This window comes from Homo sapiens, chromosome 2 (assembly GCF_000001405.40).
Source record: "Homo sapiens chromosome 2, GRCh38.p14 Primary Assembly".
NCBI lineage: Eukaryota > Metazoa > Chordata > Mammalia > Primates > Hominidae > Homo > Homo sapiens.
Window position 1 is genome coordinate 161,760,867 of NC_000002.12, and position 25,217 is coordinate 161,786,083.

The window sequence follows — 25,217 nt, forward strand, 5'->3', positions numbered from 1 at the left end:
ATAAAGAGAATGTGGTATATATATAACATACATAGGTATGTATCTATACACACACACCCCACACACACACCACATGCACACACGCAGCCACATTCCTGAGCCATATAAAAGAAGGAAATCCTGCAATATATAAATAATATTAAAAACAATAATAACAAACATTTATTGAAAACCTACTACATGCCAGGCAAATTCATACATTTTACATGTGTTAATGTCACTCAAGACAGAGAGATTACATAAAATACACAAAGTCACATAGCTAGAAATTTATTAAAACAAGACTTGCATCTAGATGTTATGTGGCTGCACACACATACAAACTGTTAGTCTCTATATAGCACTGGCTTTCTGATGCCTTCCAGAATGGGAGAATCGGCAACAGAGAGATAGGATACGCTAGAAAGAACGAGGACTTGGGCATCAAACTCAAGGAGTATGTGGCAGATGCTTAGGGAAGGACACAGCAGGACAAATAAATGAAGGCCTGCAAGACAGATGGAGCCTTGTGATAAGGCATTTATGAGCAAATTAACATGAAGAGAGTAAACATGGCATGGACAGGAATATCCTGTCCATGTTCCAATAAGGAAATCTAGTGGCAGTTAATATCAGGTTCTGGGTACAAAATTGGATTCATAGGCAGAATGGAGGCTCCAGAAGGACCCTCAAGAACAAGTCAGGAATCAAATATAGAATTAAAAACAAGCAAACCAGCAGGCAAAAATGCAGGTTTCGCTACCCTTTAAAATACTTTTGACTAATTAAAACTTTTCTTAACTTCTCAGATACCTTTTATCCTTTAACTAGTAGATGTTAGGCCCACTAGGAGAGATAGTATTCCTTAGGTCACAGCAACCGTCAGAAGTATAACACTATATGTTGTGATGGACTTAATCCTGAACCAAAAGGAGCTCCAGCATTGGAGGACTTTCACCTCTGAAACTTTGAACCCTGAACCTGACCCTGGGCTATTTCATTTCAACAGACCAGACCCTCCCTGACCTAACTGTGTGGTCCCTCAACTGGTCTTTCCATTTTGGATTGGTGGAGTTTTCCAAGTAAATTAAACACTATTCCTACATTAGAGGATTTTACCCTCCAATTCTTATTCTCAGTTCTATTTTTTCTTGTATGTATAAAGATGAAACAACACAATTGCTTTGCGTAAATAAATGAAACCTAATTTGGTTGGTTGGTATGCCAACACCCCAATTAGATACTTTAGAAAGGGACTTAAATGCTTCTTTAATAAAAATATGTAAGGAAAGAGAGAGTGATTTATTGGACTAACTTAGAAGAAATATATTTTATATGATTTACTTAATGCAGTAGATGAAACAGATTTAACTTGTATTATCATGAGATGGTATAGTCTATGTCATAGAATAAATATGAGTTTAAAAACCTAATTTCAAAGTAATATTCCAATAAATTTTATGGCACTATAATATATGTGGTGAAATTAAAAGTTAGGTTTGACTTATGCTTAGATTTCAATTCAGTTAGTATTTAAATTCTTGTAACACAGCAGTCTCCGAGCTGATACTCGTTTATATATTGCCCTATTTAAAGCAGTATGATACAATTAGACCTGAAGCAGTTGAGTCTTTCATATTTGTATTGCACTTTAACTTCCATGGTAATGAACAAATGGAATGACTCTAGGGTAAATAATGGATGCATATGTTGAATTTTAGCATTAAATCTAAATGTTAATTTTCAATTTTCTTAATTTTGTAATGTAACATAAAAGTAATAAGATGAATAAGAAAACTAATAAGTTAAAATCTTGCATCCATTATTTAATGAAACAGTAGTGAAACATTATTAAATCTGATCGTGAAAGTAATATGGTACGTGAGATGTTACAAGTTTGGAAAATTCATGTTTTAACATAGTGAAATGAGTAAAATCAACCTTTGTTTTCTATGAAGTATTTTAACGTTAATGAGAATTGAAAAGTTTGAAACCTTTGAAAATGAAAAACACTTAAAAAACTAGCTCTTAGGTCATGTTTATAAAATATATGTGTCCATATATTTTTACTGCTCCTTAAATTAATATCAGAAAATGTTTTATTTATATTAATGAAGATACTAACCCATAGATTGAGAGAGACCATACATTCCTTGAGTTATGAGAAAACTTCTTTGAAAGTGTTCCATACTTACATTTTATTAGTTATTCTTTTTTACTTCTTTTCACACATCCAGAAGTTTATTTTTATACCCTCTTTTTTATTTTGGGCAGAAATTAAACTTTTTTGAATTAATCATTCTGTTGAGCAATTTTTTATGATCCAGAGTTTCTTCCCTACCATTTTCTACTCTACCCTTTATTTGGCAATATTTTTTTGAAAGATGTTTCTTACTCAAAGTCGTGTACGTAGGTTGCCATCCTAATTACATGTCCATTTCCACACAATTTGGAGCCATGGAGTTTTAGTCATTAAAATAAACATGACACATGTGTATAGGTCAGAGTCACAGCAAGAAACACATGGTCACTCAAAAGGGGTGATAAAGAAAGTTTAATGAACGGACTATTTATAAAGGTGTGGGCATATAAGAAATAAAAAATACGTATAAAGATGTGGGCAGGATAAAGGGAAATCAACTAGGGTTCATGAAATCTTGGAGACCTGCAACAACAGGAATCTAGTACTACCCCTAGGCCTAAAGGAATGAGGTGTGGGAGCAGTTAATAAAAATTGGCAAGAGCTATAGCTATAAAGGAGTCATAGGACAAGAGCTCTGGTCTATGAGAGAGGAATGCAGCCACTGCCATACTATGGCCTAACAGGGGCTATGCCTCTCTTCTCCCAGGGTCCAACCCTCTGGCATGGTCTCTTCATGGCTGAACTTAACCAGAAGGTGGAAGGCAAAGAATCTGGTGATGTAGTTTATAAAGAGAGAGCATGGGGAAAAGAGTGCTAAGCAGATTTATAAGGGTTAATAGAGGATATATGGTACATCATACTGTCGTAATAGCTAATAAAAAGGCAGAAATGGTGGTTGCTTTTTAAAAATGATATGATAAATAAAGCAGGGAGATACAACCTTATGAAGGGGAATTTGGACCATCTGGCAGAATGGCAGATTCATCTAATCTTTGACATGGCAATCCCACTTCTAGGAATCTATCTCAAAAAATAAACTGGCAAAAATATAAAGTGATATATGTACAAGGTTATCCATTGCCAATAATTATAATAGTAAAAGAGTGGTGGCTATTCAAATGCCTCTCAATAGGAGACTGGTTGACTGAATTATGGCGCATCCATACCATGGAGTGTTATACAGCTATAAAATGAATAAGAAGGATCTCTACATACTGTAAAATAATTTCCAGGATATATTGTTAAGTAAGAAAAGCAAGACACAAGAAAGTGTTTCTAGCATGCTATCTTTTTTTAAAGAAAGGAGAATATATTAACATATAAATATAATTGCTTAGATTATCAAGTGGTAATAGTGGAAGGCTAAATAAAAAATCAATGAAAGTGGAGGTTTATTGGGAGAGGAAAGGAACAGAGTAGAATGACAGGGTTAGAAGTAGTTGAAGAAAGAATTCAGAATTGAAAATAAACTGCTTTGTCCTCTATTCATTCTAGAATGCAAAAAGAATTACTAAAAGGCTTACAAAATGGATATAACATATTTGAATTTTATAGCTCATGGCATTATTGTTAGTTTTATTTTGTAAAACTGGGAAAAACATATTTTGTTCAGACCATGGGCAAGAGTTACAGTAAATCAGAATAATGTATTTTTTTAACATATTCATAAAGAGATTAATGATATTCACAAACAATTCCAGAAGAAATAGTTGATATTTTTATGTGAACATTGTAACAATGAAATGCGGTGGCCCATATTAGCTGCTCTTCCATGAGGAAATGCACTGGTTCAGATGTGAAAGTTGAGCTAGAAACCTTTTTTTGCTATTGCTCTCTAATATTTGCTTAGTAAAATGTAACAATAAAAAAATTCTTCCGTTCCTAAACTTAGCACAACTGACACTTCTAAAATGGGAAAATGTTAACTTGAAAAGTAATGAATTATAGTTTGTTCATTTGATTAGAAGCCTATGTAAATGGACTTAAGGTGTGATTTCTGTCGGATTAGTTACTGTTACTCTGTTCCAGGGCAATAGTCTTTACCAGTGCTTTTCAACTTGCAAGTGAAAACCTATTAAGTCTTGAAATAAATTTAACAGTTAGTGATGAGTATTTTCAAATGGAGTAGAATACCATAGAGTAGAAAATATTGGGGTGCATTGTTAATAGTAAGTATTGGTTTGTGAAATTTTTGTTTTGTTTACACATATATAAGTATGTGACTATGTTGAGATATAAAATGTATTTCTCACTATGGGTCATGCCCAAAAAAATTTTAAAACACTGTCCTATATTACTTACCGGAATTGATTATCTTATAAATGTTTATCCAATGGGGCTGGGCGTGGTGGCTCACGCCTGTAATCTTAGCACTTTGGGAAGCCAAGATAGGCGGATCACCTGAGGTCAGGAGTTCAAGACCAGGTTGGCCAATGTGGCAAAACCCCGTTTCTACTAAAAATGGAAAAATTAGCCGGGCATGGTGGTGCATGCCTCTAAGCCCAGTTACTCAGGAGGCTGAGGCAGGAGAATTGGTTGAACCCAGGAACCCAGGAGGCAGAGGTTGCAGTGAGCTGAGATCATGCCACTGTACTCCAGCCTGAGTGACAGAGCAAGACTCAAAAAAAAAAAAAAAAAGTGTATCCTGATGGTGTACAAGGGTAGATTGTATTAAGGGGCAATGCAATATGTTTATGTGTTTTCTTCCTTACACAGTGCTAAAATTTGCTCCTAAATGAGCAAATACATGTGGAAATTAGGATGCATTAATGTGTTTGATGTTCAATGAATCTAGAGAGTAACTCAGTACAAAATGAAATGAAAATTTATCTTACTATGTGTTTGGGGTAACCAAAAGGCTGGCACCTGGTGCTGTATGTCCCTCTGCATTCCCTTCATCATACCCCATGTTTACTTGCTCTTGGTAACAAGGAGGAAGGGAAATGCTCTATTAAAAAGTTTTGAATAATATTGAAATGATCTTTCAAACTGTAACAAAAGTAGAGGACTTTTAGTACATGTATTAGTATTAATTTGTATCTTGGGATTTTTGTTTGCCTAAAAGAGTATACATTGGATTTTTCTGTGAAGCATCCAGTGAGTATTTAAAAGGCGTACTGTATATGAAGCTTCAAAATGAGACACTTACATTGAATTACTTTCATATTCTAGCTTCTCATATTTTTCTTTCAAATAAACATTACAATTCAGTCATTTTTACTTGCAACTTGTATAGGAATTAAATAATCAACTATTTCTTATTTAGATTCTACTGCTTCTGCTGTAAAATTTCACTCTCAGTATCTTTCCAACTATTTAATGGAATTGTGTTTTGGTTGAGGATAGCATAGGTGCCTTATATAAATAAAGAGAAAAATTATTTGTATAAATTAAAAATTGATTCAGGTTCTTGAAATAAAAATTAAACGTTTCACTGCTTAGGGGAAAACATCTTCTGGCCTTTTACACAAAGCTTTCCATTTTGCAGTTGTTTTTAAGAGACTGCCATTGTAAGACACAGTGGAATAGTGCTTGTTTTGACCTTTGAACATGGATACATGACTTAGCTTTTGGCATTCTGCCTAACAGCACCTCAGAGGGCAGAGATTCATTCTAATGTGACATATATTTGACTATGTCTTGCAAAAATAATAAATTTGCTTTGTAAATATATCAATAACAGAGTCTTAATAGGCTTCAACTTGTATTTCTCTGGTTTGGGAAAATTATATATACCCCATTTTTAGTTTTTTTTTTCTGTTGCTTTTATTGCTCTAACCAAGTCATTTTAAAAACTACTGAAGAGCAAAGCAATGGCTGTGAATCCTGTTTTATTTTCATTTTTAAAAATTTTTTTCCATTCATACATTTCTTTAACTCTGATTGCAAACACTTAGCCCTGATCTGTCTCAGCATATGTTGTCAGAAAGATATAAGACCACAGGCTAAAAAACATATCTTTCCACTATGTATTTTGCTATGTGTGATGCACAGGAGAGCTGACCTCCTTTGTTGAAATGTATCTATAATCCTTTACCTGAAAGTACTGATTTGTAAAACATGGAGGCAAAAATCTTTATCAAGGTTATGTTAAAGAATTAAGAAGCATATATATATATATATATATATATATATATATATATATATATATATGTGTGTGTGTGTGTGTGTGTGTGTTTTATTTATATATATGTGTGTGTGTGTGTGTGTGTGTGTATATATATATACACATATATATATATATACACATATATATATATATATATATTCAGGCTTTTTCACAGACATGAGCATTTTTAAACTTTATTCGGTATAAAACATAATGTGTGTTAGTTGTACTTATCCATACTTCAGACACCTGACTATAACTTCTTGTGTTTTAACACTGCTATTTATGCCATCCTCATAAGTAGTTAGGAAAACACTTAACCATATACCTCACACCTCATTTACCAGTTCAGTATCTAACTCCCTGAACTCCTTTCTAAGACAGCAGTAAACTAATCAGAAAAGCTAAGTGGAAACAGATTGTTAATGTCTAAGAATGGTGGAACTTGCTATACTCTGCTCTTATGGGGGTTTTAATTGTTTTTAATGTGTTATCCAAAGGAAGCAGAAAATATTGTGATATTTTTCTCTTACAATCCTTTGCCTTGGTCATCTGAAATTAAAACTGGTGGGAATAGTTATCTGTTCTGATTATCCACAAAAAGGCCCTGATAATGTCAACTAAAATATCATTCTTGAAAAGGATTTGGAATTTTCATGCTTCTCAATGTCTCAACTTCTTCATTTACTTGCTCTGTTACCATTGGAAGATGATATCGCCTCTCAGTTTGCCCCCCAAAACAAGGCCACCTAGTAGAAGGTTCCTCACCTACAATTTTCTTTGTTTGTTCAGAACATCTCTGAATACATAACAACCCTTCCAATCTTCCCCCAAAACCTCAGAAAAAAGGTGTCCCTATCTTTAATGCTAGTAGCTTAGTCCTTAGATCAGAGTCATATTCTTTTTTAGCACCTGGGCTAGGGGGAATTTTTATTTACTTCTTTCCTAGCATCTTAGTCTCTTCTATATTGACACCTTTCCTTTAGCCTTCAGATAGGCAAAGGTCTAACTGACTTGAAAAGAAAACAAATACTCTGATTTTGAAGACTCCCCAATTATAATCTATTTTTCTTTCAATTATTCATTCTTGAACTGAGGAAATAGCCACCAGATGTGTTCAGAAACCCACTGGATCCACAGTGAGACAGATTTCAGCCAGAACCTCATTGACTACCTGACATCCATAAGTCCCTACTCTGGCTGCTGAGCCTGAGTGACATTTTCAGTCTGTTCGGAATAGTGTCAGTTCAGAGACAGTGTCCAGTTATTTTCCCCAAAGTCCGATTATTTTCTTTTCCCCAGTGCACACTCATTCTGGTAAAAGATGGTAGGTCTCTTTGGGGAAGGCTGTAAGAAAGACTACAAATTTTTGGCAATGTAGCAAGATCCTTTCTCTAGTGGATCTGGCCTCTCCTTCATTCAAGAGGTTCTGGGTCTGTAAATTGGCTCAAGTACGGACATTTATAGAAAGACCATGACTCTTCTTATGATTCAAGTTAGACTTGTTTACTGACCTAGAACCTGACCTTTTTTCTTCTACAGATCATATAAGAATTTAGTAGACTTCCCATCTATTTCACTTCTAGTGACACCTTGATCAACTAACCAATACCATAGGTCTCTGAATCAGACTATTCTGATTACTGTTTTTACTACTGTTTATATGGTAACTACACCCATCTTTAGTGATTATGTGCTGTCTTTTGGCCCCTGTCCTGCCTGGGATCTAATTATCCGATTCCATTTTAGGATTCCAGTTTGATGACAGCAGTTCCCTTGTAATACCTGACCCACAGAGGAAAGAGACCATAGAGCTCTTCAAGGATGCTAGGGTTCCTATCACAAATTCGTTTCCCATAGTCATGGTGAAAGATGCATCTTCTGGGCCCTCCTGGTATGGGCGAGCAGGCCTTAAATTATAAATCTACTCTAACATTTCAGTTTTCCTAAGCCTTTATATACTTTCCTCTACAGTGTAACAAAGCAGTTCTGGAATTTCAACTTCATTTAGTATAGCCCATTTTTTTGGTTCTTGTTTTAGCCGACTAACCAAACTGTTAGAGCCCTTTCTAACCCCTTGAGTGACGACATTACATCTAGAATCTCTGCTTAGCGGGCCCATATCAATAAAGTCAGCCTGAGCCAATGTTATATTCCTTCCATTGTTACCTCAACACCCTTAATATCCATTCCCACATATGTTTCCTGTATTTCTGTCTGTATAAATTGGAAACATCTTGCAGTTATTTGGAATGTAGCTCAACTCCTTGTGGGTCACATTTTGTACCTCACCTTTCAAGGCCTACTGGAACTTAAGTCTAGTCAAAGATCTAAAAGCAAAGATATGCAGTGGGGGGTAAGCTAATGAGAATCAGCAGCGCTTTGCAAGGCAAGAACTATATCCTCTTTCCTCATTTCTTCATGATAGATCACCTCATTAGTTTTGCTTGATTAGATTTTGACTTTAGCATTTTCCTTATATGTTCCCCTCAGAAGGTTACCAATGATCATGTAGTCCAAGTTCAACAACATTGGAAAATAATTTTGCATCATTTTTAAAAATGTCTATATGTTGTTTGACATTATTGATTCTTCTTTCATTTCTCTTCTCCTTACTGTAATTCTTCATGTGCGCTATTTATAAGAATTCTCCAAGATTGAGATATTGAAATTTTTCCTCCCCCTCTCTCTGTTCTTTCCATGCTCTTAAATTAACAGTAATTTCTTTCTTTTCTGGATTCCCATGACTCTTGTATTCACTACTACATATTATGGCACTCTGTCAAAAGATTTCTTCCTTAATGGAAGAAAGGCAGGTCCCCAATGTCTGATGCTCCAATGTAGTTGCTGGATAGAAGAAAAAAATGTTTTTACATTTTAAATTTAATTTTTTAAAAAATTTCTTTTCAACATACTCTGGCTTTCAAAGAGGAAACAAAAACCTTTTTTCTACTAGTCATATACTGGAATAGACAGGAATAGATCTTGGAAGCTTCATTCACCTTTAGTATATCTTTTTATTTCACCTTTTGTGCTCAGTGTTCACTTTTAAGGTAATTTTTATAGAGGTGTGCACAGCTAGATAAAAGTTGGAAATATAATAGTTTACATTTTATTTCTTTCAGAATTTTGTATTTTGTCTATTCCTGCATTGTCAAAATAGATTATACTCAGCCCCCCTGCCATTATTTTTTGAGTACCAAATTAGTGGCTGTATTATTTTGAGCATGTGTTTAGTACTCAGAAGACATAGTCTCTATCCACTCATTCTAAATTGGCAAAAATATAGAGAGACACTAGAAGGTTTAATGCACATGATCATAATTTACTCTTTAGTTTCAATAAAATGCATTATACTGAAGCAAAGTAATTAGAGTTGCCTTTTATCTAATAATTGCTACTAATTGCTTTCAAGAGATTAGATCCCCCAATCCCATTTTTAATGACAGTGGAATTATTTTACCCTGCCATAGCATTAGTGGTGTTAATACTAATGATTTTCATATTTTCCTTGCATAGTTCAAAATGTCATCTTGTTAACAAGAATTCTTTATCAAGGATAAAAATGCATTTTACTAAATTGATAGAATAACTATTTTTTTTTGTTTTTCATCTCACTGACAAATGGTGCCAACTGGAATGTTTGACTGCCTCCAATGTTATAAAAAACCAGATGATATTTCTTCAAATATGTGGTCAAATTTATTTTACTCTTCTTTTTAAGCCAACACTTACTAATCAAATAGACTACTCATGAACAACTAGATTTAAATGACTGAATTAAGCCTTGAAATATTAAATTATATCAAGGTTTGTTTTTTGAAATTGAGATAATATGTGTGTTATCATTTAATCTTCCTTATCCTCATTTAACAGAGAAATGATGAAGAAGCAGTTGTGGATAGAGGTGGAACTCGTTCTATTCTCAAAACACACTTTGAGAAAGAAGATTTAGAAGGTAAGACCATTTTTCTTGGGATAGCTATTGGTGTGCTTTCCAAAAGTATTTCACAGATAAATGTAGTTTGTCACATTGTGAAGAATTGCAAAAGTTGGTATCAGAGTAATGGTAGCTTACTGGGGAGGGGTACATCTGATTGTTTTGGTACAGTTTGGAATGTCAATAGGCAGACCTGAAATCAATGAGAAGCATCAGTTCATCCAACAGACATTTATTGAATCCCTACTGTATTCCAAGCACTGTACTGTGTGTCAATCTTTCAATAATCCTTGCTTCATGTAATTACAATCAATTGAGACATGATGACAGATCAGCATATCAAGTGCTGTGTGAGAGGTGAATGTAGGACAGGAGGGGGAGGGGCATCTAACTCAGCCTATGTTGTCAGAGGTATAGTCACCATTTTTGTGTGTTCTCTTTAATGGGAAGAAGGATGCCTAATTCAACAGGGAGGTAGTATGGCCCGGTGGTTAACTGTATGGGTTCTGAAACCAGACTGCAGTGGATTCAAATACCAGTGCTGCCCCTTATTTGTCATAGGAACTTCAGCCAGTTACTTACCTTTTCTGAACCTCAGGGTCCTGAACTATTAAAGCAAGGATAATAATGGAATATATTTCATAGTTTTTCTATGAGAATTAAGGGAAAATTACTTAGAATAGTACCTGGCCAAAGAGTTGTGTAAATACTGTCAATTATTGTTATACCAACATTTAGTGTACATACAGGATTAGCTAATTGTTACTAATGAGAAATTGTTACTAATGAGATACAAGGTATAGTATTTGTCATCTTTTGATTGAAAAGTAAAAGCAAGGTGATCTTAAGTACAAGTCATCAGAGAGAGCTCCCAATAAACCACTGAGTTGAGAGGTAAGGGTTTTTTCATTTTAAACTTTGTAATGTAACCATTTACAGTACAATTAAATTAATTGCTCTTGGATCTTATCTTTAGTCACAACACTGACATAACAGGAGAATTACTATAATATTTAGAAACAACTCTCAACAACTATACCGACTCTTGCCTGACATTTTGCTTGTTGCACAAACATACTCAGATCTAAGAAGGTTATGCTTACTGGGGGGGCCTATTGATTTCCTATGCTATCCACATTCATTACATAAATTTAAGGGAGCAAAACCTTGAAAAATCTAGACTGGTAATGGATAACATAAAAATAATTTATCTTTGAGTTCGAAATGCCATTACATTTTTTAAAACAACATATTTACCTTCCTATTTATGTCATGCTATGACAAGCTATCCTTATATTTACTAAACACACACCAAGAAAACTAACAAAGCAAGATGGTAGCCTAGAAATATACTCAATTCCAAGAAAAAATCATCTTGATTTTAAAGATGGTGAATGGTCCTTTTTATTGGAAAATACTTAATAAAAAATAGCATTTACTGAGATCATTTTAATTGTTATACCTACATATATTACATATGCTTTGTTTGGCATAGTTAAGAAATACAGACAATGGTGTGCAATGCTTACTAAAAGAGATTTCTGATTGGTAGAGCACAACTGGATTAGCCAGATTTTGTTCTATTTACTGATTTCAATTATGGGTAATTGAATCCAATAAGCTAATAACAGTGATTAAGTCATTGGTGATTAAAATTAACTATAGAATGCAAATTAACATTGAATTTTACAATTTTGAAGGAAAACAGGAAAAAAATCTGGTTTATATTGACGTTCTAATATTTGTGTTACACACAGCCCATACTAAATAAACAATCTAGCATTTGAAGATGCTATTGAGGGTTCTGTTGTGATGCATGCAAAAATTTAATAGATCTACTAGTTGTTCTGGATCCATTAGCCAGAGTCAGGAAATAGTGAAAGAGTGAAGTGATGGGTATTGTAGTTCAGCAAGAATCAGCTGGCAGCAGAATATCACATGATTTTAAGTGGGAGAGCACCAAGGAGAAAGGTAGCATTATTGAGATAATGACTATGGTAATTCATCTTCTGTTTGGTGTTACTATAACAGAATACCACAGACTGGATAATTTATAAAGAAAAGAAATTGATATCTAACAGCTCCAGAGACTGGGAAGTCCACGATTGGGAGGTCCATATCTGGTGAGGACCTTTGTGCTGTATCATTCCCATGGTGGAGGATGGAAGGATGAGAGCAGGGAGTGAGATTGAACTCACAGTCTCAAGCCTTTTGATAATCCACATTAATCCATCCATTCCTGACAGTGGAGCTCTCATGACCTAAATACTTCCCATTGGGCCCCACCTCACAAATTGTTGCACCAGGGATTAAATTTCCAACACACGCCTTTTGGGAACACATTCAAATTGTAGTATCCTCCTTTTTTGCAATTTAAAGGAAAAGAACAAAACTCCAAAGAGCTTCTTTATTAAGGCAGCTAATACACAATAAATATTTTAAATACAATGGAGTTGGGAATTGCTATTACAGATAAACGCGTTTAAAAAAATAAACTCTTAAAATTTTACATTTGAAAATGAGTGTTTCTCAGGAGTTATGTGTATATATTTATTTAATGAAATTACTGGTGTAATGTAACATTCTGAGTACAGGTTGTAGAAATGCCAGATGTTTAAAAATATCTGTAAAGTCTCAGGTGCAATATATTTAATGGGAAATGATCCCCTGCTCAATAACAACAGGTTGGTATATTAGTTAATTTCTTCATATGTGTATTATACATTCTGCTAAATGATATATCAAATGTATAATTTTCTCTCTCTAAATCTGTTTATGTATATCTTGTACAATTTTATGTCTTTTCCTCCTATTAAAATAGAAAGAAAACTATCTTACTAGATTCTTCTATTAACCTCCTATTTTTGTAAATCATGCGGTCGGTACATTCTTTCAATCTATCTCAGTGGTGTCTCTACTCATCTCCTCTCCCTTCCATTCCCACTGCCACTGCTCTACTTCCCTCTCTCTCCTATGTACTGTGGACTGAGTCTTTCCCATTATACAGCCTCCTTAATACTGCCAGAGTGTTCTTTCTAAGCCTACTTCTGTTTCCTGCAATAAAAACGGTGAAGGGTATTGAATCTCTGTAATTAGACAACTTCAGGATTCTGAGTAAAGCAAAAATTCTTGAGGTTAAGCAATTTCTGTTTTTGGCCTCCCACATCAATGTGAGATGAGTACTATCTAAGTATAAGATTATAAAATGGGAAATACATTAATACCCTTAAAATTATTTCTTCTACTTTCCCTTTAACACATGTCAGATAAAACATAAGATGCCCAGATAAATTTGAATTTCAGGCAAATAATAAACAACTTTTTAGTATAGGTACATCCCATGCAATATTTTTATTTATTATTTTTTATTTGCTAAATCTGGAAACCTTAGTAGTGGATGTTACAGTGAACCACCAATATTCCCCTTTGAGGACTGAGGTATTTATTTCCTCAGTTGCCAGAGGTGTTGCCTGCTTGATGGCTTATACCTACGTTCCTCCCCAAGAATTACCTTCAGCTGAAAGGAGCTGCCTCTTGCCTATAGGAGCTGCCTCCCCTGTGGTTTTACTGAATGAGTACAACTCAATGAGTACATGACCCTGTAGTCAATGAAGGCTTACAAAAGCCTAGCCCCCTTGCCTCAATATGAGACAACTGTGAAGGGCTAGCCTAGCATCAGAGTTCCATGTGGAATCAGTTGAGACGTCTACTGCAATTGCACCATAATTTCAAGCTCTCCCTGTACCAAACAAATTCTGCTCCCCATAATCCTTCAGTGTTGTTATTGCTGACAGTTATCTTCAACAGACTCCCTCAACACATATCTCAGAATCTGTTTCCTAGGAAAGCCAATCCTCCAATTGATCATTTCCCTGTTCCCTGAATAGTACCGATAGACGTACTTGGTAGTTGGCAGGAGCACCACATTGGTTATTTAGCTTGTGGAGTTAAGAACTATTGTAGTGGCTTAGGGGACTCTAAACTACTTGATTTGAATATGATAGTATATGAAAATCAGTGTTGCATCTGAGGGAGAATGGCAGAGTTTCTTCTCAAGTTTCTGCCGCTTTTAAAGGCCTAAATTATGTGTCAGTGTGGCCACAACAGAAACTTGTCACATCCTAGAGGATGATAATGGACTACTTCAAATTCACCCAACTGGTAGCACCAATTGCAGCTGCCATATCAGATGTGGGATCTTGGCTACAGCAGGATAACATGGCCTCAGGAACATGGTATGCAGCTACTGATCTGGAAAATATATTTTTCTCCCAATTACTATCAAAAAGGAGTACCAGGGGTAGTTACCATTCCTGTGGGAAGTACAACAGTACATATTTATAGTCTTGCTCCAGGGCTATGTTAACTCTCCTACCTTCTATCATAATAGAGTCCAAGAGGATTTGGATGAGTGAATGTTATCCAGAATTTCACATTGTTTCACTATATTAACCCATTGACCAGGAAGTGGCAAGTGTGTTGGAGGTCTTGGTAAGAGAGACACATTTCGGTGTCTGTTTCTCAGTGAATCTGATGAAAAAACAATATGAAAGAGAATGCCACTCTATACTGAGCCTTAAACTCCAGGGTGGATGCATGAAGAGGTGAGGCGAGTTTCTATAGGGACTCAGTGAAAGTAACCCAGTGCCCCTTCAGTTACTCTTATTCACCTCAGTTCTCTCTTCATTGTTCACCTTTGTCCTGTCCAGGTTTTCTCAGAATGAATGATGGCACTTTTTAAAATTTAATGGATATTTTTTTTTCACGTATGAACATTGTTGTATCTTCTGCAGGCATAAGGGTAAATTAATGAAGCAAGTTACTTAAATAATATGATCTATTAACTACTTAAATGATCATAAAGAGAAGAAAATTTAATAGCTAAAGGTGATGTGCTGTAATTTCAGCCATTTTGAATGCAGTGATCAATTACCAATCAAGGAGATACTATTAAACAATGGACTGTTTATCTTAATTATTTGAAAATATTTTTATGTAGATCAAATAGGAATAGCATAAGATTTACTATCTTAAACGTTAGCTGAAATTGGTGCTACTAGTTAGTCGAGTTTGAAATAGTCCAATCACCCTCTAGGATGTGGCAAGTTTCTGTTGTGGCCACACTGATGCATACTTTAGGTCTTTAAAAGCAGCAGAACTTGAGATGAAACTCTGCCATTCCCCCTCAGAGGCATACTGATTTTCATCAGTAATGCAAGTGTACAGTTCAGTAATGTTAAGTGTATTCACATTGTTATGCAACCAATATCCAGAATTTTTTCATCTTGCAAAATTGAAACTTGCTATACAAACAATAACTCCCCTTTTCTTCTGCCCCCAATTCCTGTCAACAACCATTCTACCTTCTGTTTCTGTGAATTTAGCTACTTTAGATAATTCATGCAAATGGAATCATATACTATTTGTCTTTTCATGACTGACATATTTTATTTAGTATATAAAGTCCTCAAGTTTCAGTCACATTGTGGCATGAGTCAGAATTTTCTCCTTTTTTAAAGTTGAATAACATCTCATTGCATATACCACATTTCCCCTGTCCTTTCAACTGTAGAACTTTTGAGTTGCTTCACTATTGTGAATAGTGTGGTTGTGAACATAGATGTGCAAATATCTCTTTGAGATCTTGTTTGCAATTCTTTTGAAGATATACCCAGAAGTGGGAATAGTGGATCATGTGATAATTCTATTTTTAATTTTTTGAGGAACTGCCATACTGTTTTCCATAGTGGCTGCACCATTTTACATTCCCAACAAAAATGCGCAAGGGGTCTCCACATCCTTGCCAACACTTATTTTCTGGTGTGTGTGTGTGTGTGTGTGTGTGTGTGTGTGTGTTTTGATAGTTATGGTAATGGATGTGAGGTGATATCTCACTGTAGTTTTGATTTGCATTTCCCTAATACTGATGTTTAACATCTTTTCATGTACTTGTTGCTCACTTGCATATCAACTTTGAGAAATGTCCATTCAAGTCCTTTGTCTATTTTTTTAATAGGCAAGTGACTTGAATAGACACTTAACCCTATCAAATTTTTAATTTAAAAAAATTAAAATTAATTTTTAATTTAAAAAAGTTAAAATTAATTTTTAATTTTTTAAAAAATTTAATAGGGTAAAAAAATTTTTAATTATTATAGGTTAACATGGCTGTTTTATTGTTATTGAGTTGTAGGAGGTCTTCACATATTCTAGACAGTAACCTCTTACCAGATATATGATTAGTCAATATTTTCTCCTATTCTATATGTTGCCTATTAGATCTATTGGTTGTGTCCTTTGATGCACAGACATTTTTTAGTTTGATACAGTTCATTTTGTATATTTTACTTTTATTGCCTATGCTTTCAATGTCATAGCCAGGAAATCTTTGCCAAATTCAATATGATGAAATGTTTTCCTATGTTTCTGTGTTAGTCCATTTTCACGCTGCTGATAAAAACATACCCAAGATTGAGCAATTTACAAAAGAAAGTGGTTTAATGCACTTACAGTTCTGCGTGGCTGGGAAGGCCTCACAATCATGGAAGGCAAGAAGGAGCAAGTCACATCTTACATGGATGGCAGCAGGCAGAAAGAGAGAGAGCTTGGGCAGAGAAGCTCCCGTTTTTAAAACCATCAGATCTCCTGAGACCCATTTACTGTCACGAGAACAGCACGGGAAAGACCCACCCCCATGATTCAGTCATCTTCCACTGGGTTCCTTTCACAGCATATGGGATTTATGGGGCTACAAGATGAGATCTGGGTGGGGACACAGAGCCAAACCATATCAGTTTCCTTCTAAGAGCTTTATAGTTTTGGGTCTTGAAGTTTAAGTTTTTGATTCATTTTGAGTTAATTTTTGCATATGGTATAGGATGCCAACAGTTTTACTCATTACATCTCTTTGTTTCTTAACATTACACGTTATAACCTGCATTAGGTTTATACAGGATGAATTTCTTTTCCAAATCATTGTTATATAGACAACCTACTTAGAGAGAGAGAATGTTATTTCCCATGTTTTAGCAAGTGCTTATAACATAATTTCTGCTACTTTCTACAGTCTGAGAACATAGAAGTAGTATAACATTAGGAATATTATTACAGACTTTCTGTTCAAAAACTTTCTGTATTGTCCAATGCCAAATTAACACCTTCTCATATCCTTCATTTGCTAGTGTTTTCCTCTACACAAAAATAGAATGCTCATTCTGCCCATCCATTAGTGCTACCTTCTAAGAGCTATCATTTTTCCCCAGATAATAATAATAATTATCTTTCTCCTCTTAACCTCTCTTTATGAAAGTTTATGCCTTTTCTTATATAATTGTTTTACATATCTATATGTCTTTGTTATTGATTATAAACTCATTGAGGGACAAATTTTCATCTTTTACATTGTTGCATTCTCCCTGGGATCCAGCACTTTTACTGAAACTGGATAGGTACTAAAAAATGTGTTGCATTGAGTGCCATTCATATATATTTCAATAATATGTCACTGATCATGCAATACCTTTAATTCATAATGTAATTAGGTGCCTAATTAATGTTCATCAAATATTCAAACATTTAACACATAAATACAGAAGTTTCTAATGACATGCATATACTAAGATAAATCTGATTACATTTTAATCTGATATTCAGGAATTCATAAAAGTATAACTTTAATGAAAAAGTTAAAATAATAATAAAATCTTGGCCTGCAAATTAAATTTAAAGATACTTTAAAAAAAACTGTATTGCTTTTAGCAGATATTAAAATCTTTTAAGTCAAAAGCTTAGTGGAGAAAATAATGCCCCATCTTGATATTCTTTTACTCCTTGCATTTGGGCAAAAAGAATCAGCTTACTAGTTTATTTCCTTTTGGGGCCACATAGTACACTATAGACCTGTCTTAGTTTGTTTTGTGTTGCTATAACAGAATACCTGAGTAATTTATGAAGAAAAGAAGTTTATTTAGGTCACAGTCCTGTAGGCTGAGAAGTTCAAAAACTATGGCACCGGCATCTTCTTGGCTTCTGGTGAGGGCTTTTGTGCATCATCTTAACAGGGTGGAAGGTCAAAGTGGAAGTGGCCATGTGTGAAAGGGCAAAACTCAAGAAATATCCTTGCTTTATAACAACCTGCTCTTGAGGGAGATAATCCATTTTTATGAGAACTAATGCCATCTTGCAGGAGTGAAAACTCCCTCACTACCATGAGAAGGGCACCAAGCCATTCATAAGGGATCTGCCCTCATGAACTGAGCACCTCCCACTAGGCTCCACCTCCCAATACTGCCACATCAAATTTTAACATGAGTTTTGGTTGGGACAAACCATATCCAAACCATAGCAAGACCCAAAGTTCAAAGATAATATAAGTAAAGCACCTAGCACAAAGCTATTATACAACATAATTCTATCAATGGCAGTATTCTCCTGCTTTTCTCATTTCACCCAGTGCATTCCTGAGCTCTTAAAGATAACTAAAATTGTTTTCTAACTAGAATTATTGTAATTTCAAGTGTTTTAGACTAAAAAGCCAAATATAATAAGTGCACATCTCATAATTATAATATTTTGCAACTAAATTGAAAAACAGTTTTAAAAATAAAGAAAAGAAAAAAAGTAAAAAATTAGGGCTGGTCCTCTACTTTCTAATATTTTACCTCTAAAATCTTATGCCAAGGATATTAGCAAACAATAGCCTATTGGCCAAATTTTTTCCTGCCACCTTTATTTGCATGGCCTTTGAGCTAAGAATAATTTTTACATTTAAAAATGATAGGAAAGGATCAAAATAATATTTATGACATAAAATTACATGAAATTCAGACTTTAATGTTCATTAATAAAGCTTTATTGGAACATAGCCATGTTCATTAATTACATTTTGTGTATAGCTGCTTTTGCACTACAATGGTAGAGTTGAGTAGTTGTGACAAAGAATATATGTGGCTCCATCTTGGTTCACACTGCTACTCAGTGTACTACAAATCACAGTGAGTTTGAATGCCATTCATATTACTGCAAACGACATTTTATTTATTTTTATTGCCAGTGCATATCCATCATGTCAGAACAAGAAAATAAGAGAAAAATGAACTTTGATTGTCATGCTTTTATAGCACAGTGGAGTGTGAATTATTTTATTTAATTAGATGACAAAATATGTATTTATTATGTAAAGACTCTATAGCTATGCTAAAAGAATAGAATATATCTCCACATAACCAGATTAATCACTCATCACAATATTCCTGACTCACAAGAAGACAACAGTCATAAATATTAGAAGGCTTAAAATGGAATCTCTCATTATAGCAGAGTTTTCCTACAAAACAAAAAGGACAGTGAGACTTCAACCAATGTACATTTCTGAATGGCTCACTTGTTAGCCAAGTATGCCCTTATAAGACTGTGGCACTCTAAACAGGGCTTTCACAATGTCCACCCACACAATACCTGCCTTAATGAAAAGCTCAGTACCAGTTTCAGGCAATTTAAAAATCTTAGCCTTTATTATATTGAAATTAAGTCGAATTATTTTTCTATTATGATCCCTTTTGAAATAAGCTTTTACACATTTCTAATGCTTTCTTCAGAGCGGCTCATATAAATCAATGATTTTTTAAAAAATTCTTTCATTTCGATTTAATCTATTAATACTTTAGATCTCACTCTCAGGGAAAAATTACTTTATTGCATGTAAAGTAATTCAAATAGAATATAGTTTACAATTTTCTTCCAAATTAAGCTTGAGCCTGGATAAAAATATTTTTAAGTGCCCAACAATATTTAGATATTATTTGCCATGTTTCTATTTTCATAGGAAGAGATAATATGTTTAATAAAAAATACATATCTAAAAGGATAATCTGATGTTGTAAAATTATAAATTCTAATTTTCTGTCAAAACAACCCTGAATGTGAACTTATCAGAATCTTGTCTGTGTGACTGCAACCCCTCCCCCAACCTTAAAAAACATACCACCAGCCCCACTCTCCACCAGTGTGGCCAAACCAAGGGAAGTGAGAAGCAGGAACATAGCTACACAGGTCAGAGCTAAATATTAAGAGTAAAAATAGTATCTTGAGCTTTCAGAACCACAAATTTTCAAAGTGAGCCAGAGGACAGAGCAGCAGCTGCATTTTCAAACAGAAGCAACTACATTTTTCTAATCAACTGCTGTGTTATGGAACATGAACTGCAGGAAATGATGGACTAATGTCCTTTTATGTATCAGATAAGCAGGAGGAAGTATCAGTGGTGTGCTTTACTTGGTGAGTGAATCTTGATAAACATATTCAATAAATATCTTCCACTTATGTCCTTTAATTCAGTACAATGCTTTTTAAAAAATATTCAACTTGTGTGTACATCGACCAGAAAATGTTCTATATAAAAACTGTATTTTGCTTGGGTTTCGAGATGAATGTTTCATAAGATATCTATATATGTATTAAAATTATTTAAATATGAGGAAAAAGAACTTGTTTGCTGTTGGCGATGAAATCATGTTTAATTATAGTACTGAAAAAAATGTGCCAAGAGTAAACAAACTTGTTTAGTGCTGCTAGTGTTTAGGTGAGAACCATTGCTTGAAGAGTTGGGGACACTGGGAGCAACATAGATGGTCAATGAAAAAATGACAGAAGACTGATGTCACCAAAGTGTGGAGTAGGAAACCTTCGTCCCCACCACAAACACACCAATTCAGGAACAATTCACAGAAAAATTCCCTTTGTGGGAAATCCAGCAACTAATTGAAGGGCTCCTGCACCCTGGGTGAATGCAAAATCAGATCCATCGAAGCTGGTGAGGATATTCACGACAGCTGTCTGCCAAAATTTCTACCCCCAACGCAACACCATACAATTGGGAAAAGAGTCTCAGCTCTCAGCTTCTCCCAGAGGAGGTTTGTGCATCCAATACCCCAACTTCGATGGGGGCTACCCAAAGGACTGGCTTCTGTCTTCTCTGTCTTAAAGTGCTAATGGTGTGGAATTATCTAGCCACCTGGGGGAGAATAGAGATGGTGGCTTAGATTGGTAGCCACCATAGCTTTTCCTCCCTAGCTCAGAGCATAGAGCAAGCAAACAAAATCCCCACCTTTCAGCTTCTCCCTGGGGATGGAAAGAGTTGGTACATACATTAAACTTTCTGGGGGTTTTCCAAAGGATTGGCTGAAATCCCAAAGAATTCAGTCTCACTCATCCTGGTGCACTCACAAGACCTGGCAAACCCTAGACACCTGGGGCTACAAGAAATACACAAGCAAATAAGTTGAACAAGCATGAGGTTTAAGAAGCTTTAGAATCTCTTCCTGGACTTATTGGTGGGGATCTTCCATATAAGGCCAGCTCTTTGTGAAGACTCAGAGAGAAGTCTGCTTTATCTGATGCAAAGACACCAATGCATAGAGTCAAGTAAGATGAAAAAACAGGAAAATGTGTTCCAAACTAGGTAACAGAAAAATCTCCAGAAATTGACTCTAATGAAACAAAGATACACAATTTACCTGGAAAAGAATTTAGAATAACTGTCATAAAGATGCTCACTGAGGATAAGAGAACGTTGCATGAACAAAGTGAGAATTTCAGCAAAGAGATAGAAAATATCTTAAAAGTACCAAACAGGAATCATGAAGTTGAAGAATAAAATAATTAAATTGAAAAATTCACTAGAGGGATTCAACAACATACTAGATCAAGCTAAAGAAAGAATCAGTGAACTTAAGGACAGGCCATTGGAACTTGCTGAGTCAGAGAAACAAAAAGGACAAAATAATGAAAAAGAATAAAAAAAGCTTAAAGGACTTACGAGACACCATCAAGTGGATCAATATATGCATTATGAGAATTCCAGAAGGAGAAGAGAGAAGGAAAGAACCAGAAGATTTATTCAAAGAAATAATAGCTAAAAACTCCCAAGTATGGAAAAGGAAATGTGTAATCCAAGGACCCCCAAAAAGGAAAACTTAGAGATATCAACACTAAGACACCTTATAATCAAATTGTCAAAAGTCAATCACAAAGAGAAAAAGCAACAAGGGAAAAGTTACTTGTCGGGTACAAGGGAAATTTCATAAGAGTATAAGTAGATTTTTCTTCAGCAACTTTTTTGCAGATGAGAAGGAAATGAGATGATAGATTCACAATGCTGGGGGAAAAAGCCAACCAGGAAACCTAGACCAAATGAAACTGTCCTTCAACCAGGAAAACTAGACCAAATGAAACTGTCATTCAATCATGAAAGAGAGATAAAGTCTTTTCCAGACAAACAAAAACTAAGGAAGTTCATCACCACCAGACCTCCCTACAAAAAATGCTAAGGGAACCTCCTTAACTTGAAATGAAAGGACACTAAACAGCAACAAGATAGCATAAGAAAGTATAAAAGTATTGGTAAAGGTAAATATATAGACAAATGCAGGACCGTAATACTGCAATAGTGGTAGGTAGACCACTTGTAATTCAAGTAAAAAAGTTAAAAGACAAAGTAGCAAAATACTTTCAATAACTAAAATACTTTTAATAAGTAAAACTATGTTAATAGATACACAATATAAAGAAATGTTAACTGTGACAACAATAACAAAATGTGTATGGGAAGGAGAGTAAAAAGAGGCATATTTTTGTATGTCATTGAACTTAAGTTGTTATCAGGAAAAAATAGACTGTCATTACTATAAGGTATTATATAAACCCCATGGTATCTAATGAGAAAATACCTATAGAAAGGTATCAAAGATTCCCAACAAAAAAAAATCAACAAAACATGAAAAATGAGAGCAAGAGAGGAAAAAATGCACAAAATAATTACAAGGCTAACAGAAAACAGTACATGACAATAATAAATCCTTCTCTATCAATAATTACTTTAAAACTAAATAAATTATACTTCCCAATCAAAGACATAGGGTGGTTGAATGGATTAAATGTATAATGGAATCACATGCTGTTATCAAGAGACTCCCTTTAGAATTTAGGCTCAATGTGAAAGAATGGAAAAAAAAATTCCACGAAAATGTTAATGAAAAACGAGCAAGAGTGACTATACTTATATCAGATAAAATAGACTATAAGTCAAAACTCTCTCAAAAGACTGAGAAAGACATCTTATAATGATAAAAGGATCAATTCACCAGGAATATATAACAATTGTAAGTAGTTATGCACCCAACAATTAAGCACCTAAACATATAAAGCAAACATTGACAAAACTGAAGAGAGAAACAGGCAGCAACACAATAATAGTAGGATATTTCAATACCTCATTTTGAATGATGGGTAAAACATATTATCCATTACCCACGGGCAAAACAGAGCAAAAGGAAATAAAGGACTTCAACAACCTTATAGAAAAAAATGGACCCAATAGACATGAACATTTCACTCAATAGCAGCATAATACACATTCTTCTCAAGTGCAGCCAGAATATTCTCCAGAATAGATCACATATTAAGCTGAAAAGTATGTTTTAAAAATTTAAAGTGATCAAAATTGTACCAACTATTATTTCTGACTACAATGGAATGTGAAAGTAGAAATCAATAGCCATGGGAAAACTGAAAATATTATAAATATGTGGACATTAAACAAAACACTCTTGAACAACTAATGGGTCAGAAAGAATTCAAAAGAGACATTAGAAAATATCTTGAGAGACATGAAGATGAAAACATAATATACCAAAACTTATGGTATACAGCCAAAGCACTATTAAAAGATAAGTTTATAATGATAAAAGTCTATATGAAAAAAGAAGACAGATCTCAAATTTGCAACCTAATTATACATTTGAAGGGACTAGAAAAAAAAAACACACTAGACCCAAAGTTAGCTGATAGGAAGAACTAGCAAAGATCAGAGCAGAAATAAACAAAATAGATAATAGAAAACAATAGGAAAAAATCAATGAAATTGGGTTTTTTTTTAAAAGATAAAATTGACAAACCTTTGGCTAGACTTAGAAAAAAGAGAGGATTCAAATAAATATAAATCATATATTAAAGAGGAGGTATTACCACTGATATCACATAAGTTAAAAAGTTCATAAGTATCTATGATAAACAATTATATGCTAAGAAACTCTATGACCTTAAAAATGGATAAATTCCTAGGAACATAAAATCTACCAAACACGAAACAAGAAGATATAGAAAATCTGGACAGACAAATAACAAGCAAGAAAATTAAATCAGTAATAAAAGACCTCCAAACAAAGAAAATCCCAGGAACAGATGGCTTCACTGGTGAATTTTACCAAACATTTGAAGAAGATTTATGTCAAACTTTTTTTTATCTTGAAGAAGAGGAAATACCTCCAAACTCATTGTATGATGCCAGCATTACCCTGATACCAAAGCCAAAGACACTGCAAGATAAGAAAATTACATAATAATATCTCTGATGAACATAGATGCAAAAATTCTTAACAACAAAAACTACCTAGCAAGCTGAATTCAACAGTACATTAAAAAGTCATATGATATTTATTATAGGAAGCAATGGATACCCTGGGCTGGGGTTCATTATATACAAATCAATAAATGTGATGTGCCACATTCACAGAGTAAAGAACAAAAAATATATTATTATTTAACATCGTTTCATGATAAAAACTCTCAACAAATTAGCTGTAGAAGGGATGTAGCTCAACACAATAAAGGCCATATATGACAATCCTACAGTTTACATCATACTCAATGATGAAAAGTTGAAAGCTTTTCCTCTAAGTTCAGGAACAAGGCAAGGATGTCTACTCTTGCTACTTCCATTCAACATAGTACTAGAAGTCCTAGGAAGAGCGATTAGGCAAGAAAATTTTTCATGTGCAGATGAGAAAAAATGTATATTCTGTGGTCGTTGAATGGAATGTTCAGTAGATGTTTATTAGGTCCATTTGGTCAAGAGTGCAGTTTAAGTTCAGAGTTTCTTTGTTAGTTTTCTGCTTTAATGATCTGTCTAGTGCCATCATTGGGATGTTGAAGTCCTCCACTGTTATTGTATATCTGTCTGTCTCTTTTCTGAGGTCTAATGGCATTTGCTT

At 34.4% G+C, this 25,217-nt stretch overlaps 1 protein-coding gene across 25 annotated transcripts in view; it reads left to right on the forward strand.

Moving 5' to 3' along the window:
• SLC4A10 (solute carrier family 4 member 10) overlaps window positions 1–25,217 on the forward strand; it is a 360,855-nt gene that overhangs the window by 136,451 nt on the left and 199,187 nt on the right. For all 25 annotated transcript variants that reach the window (NM_001354461.2, NM_001354447.2, NM_001354441.2 and 22 more), the window contains one exon: window positions 10,107–10,188. In NM_001354461.2, the coding sequence (NP_001341390.1) occupies window positions 10,107–10,188 (82 nt within the window). The remainder of the gene's footprint in view (window positions 1–10,106; window positions 10,189–25,217) is intronic.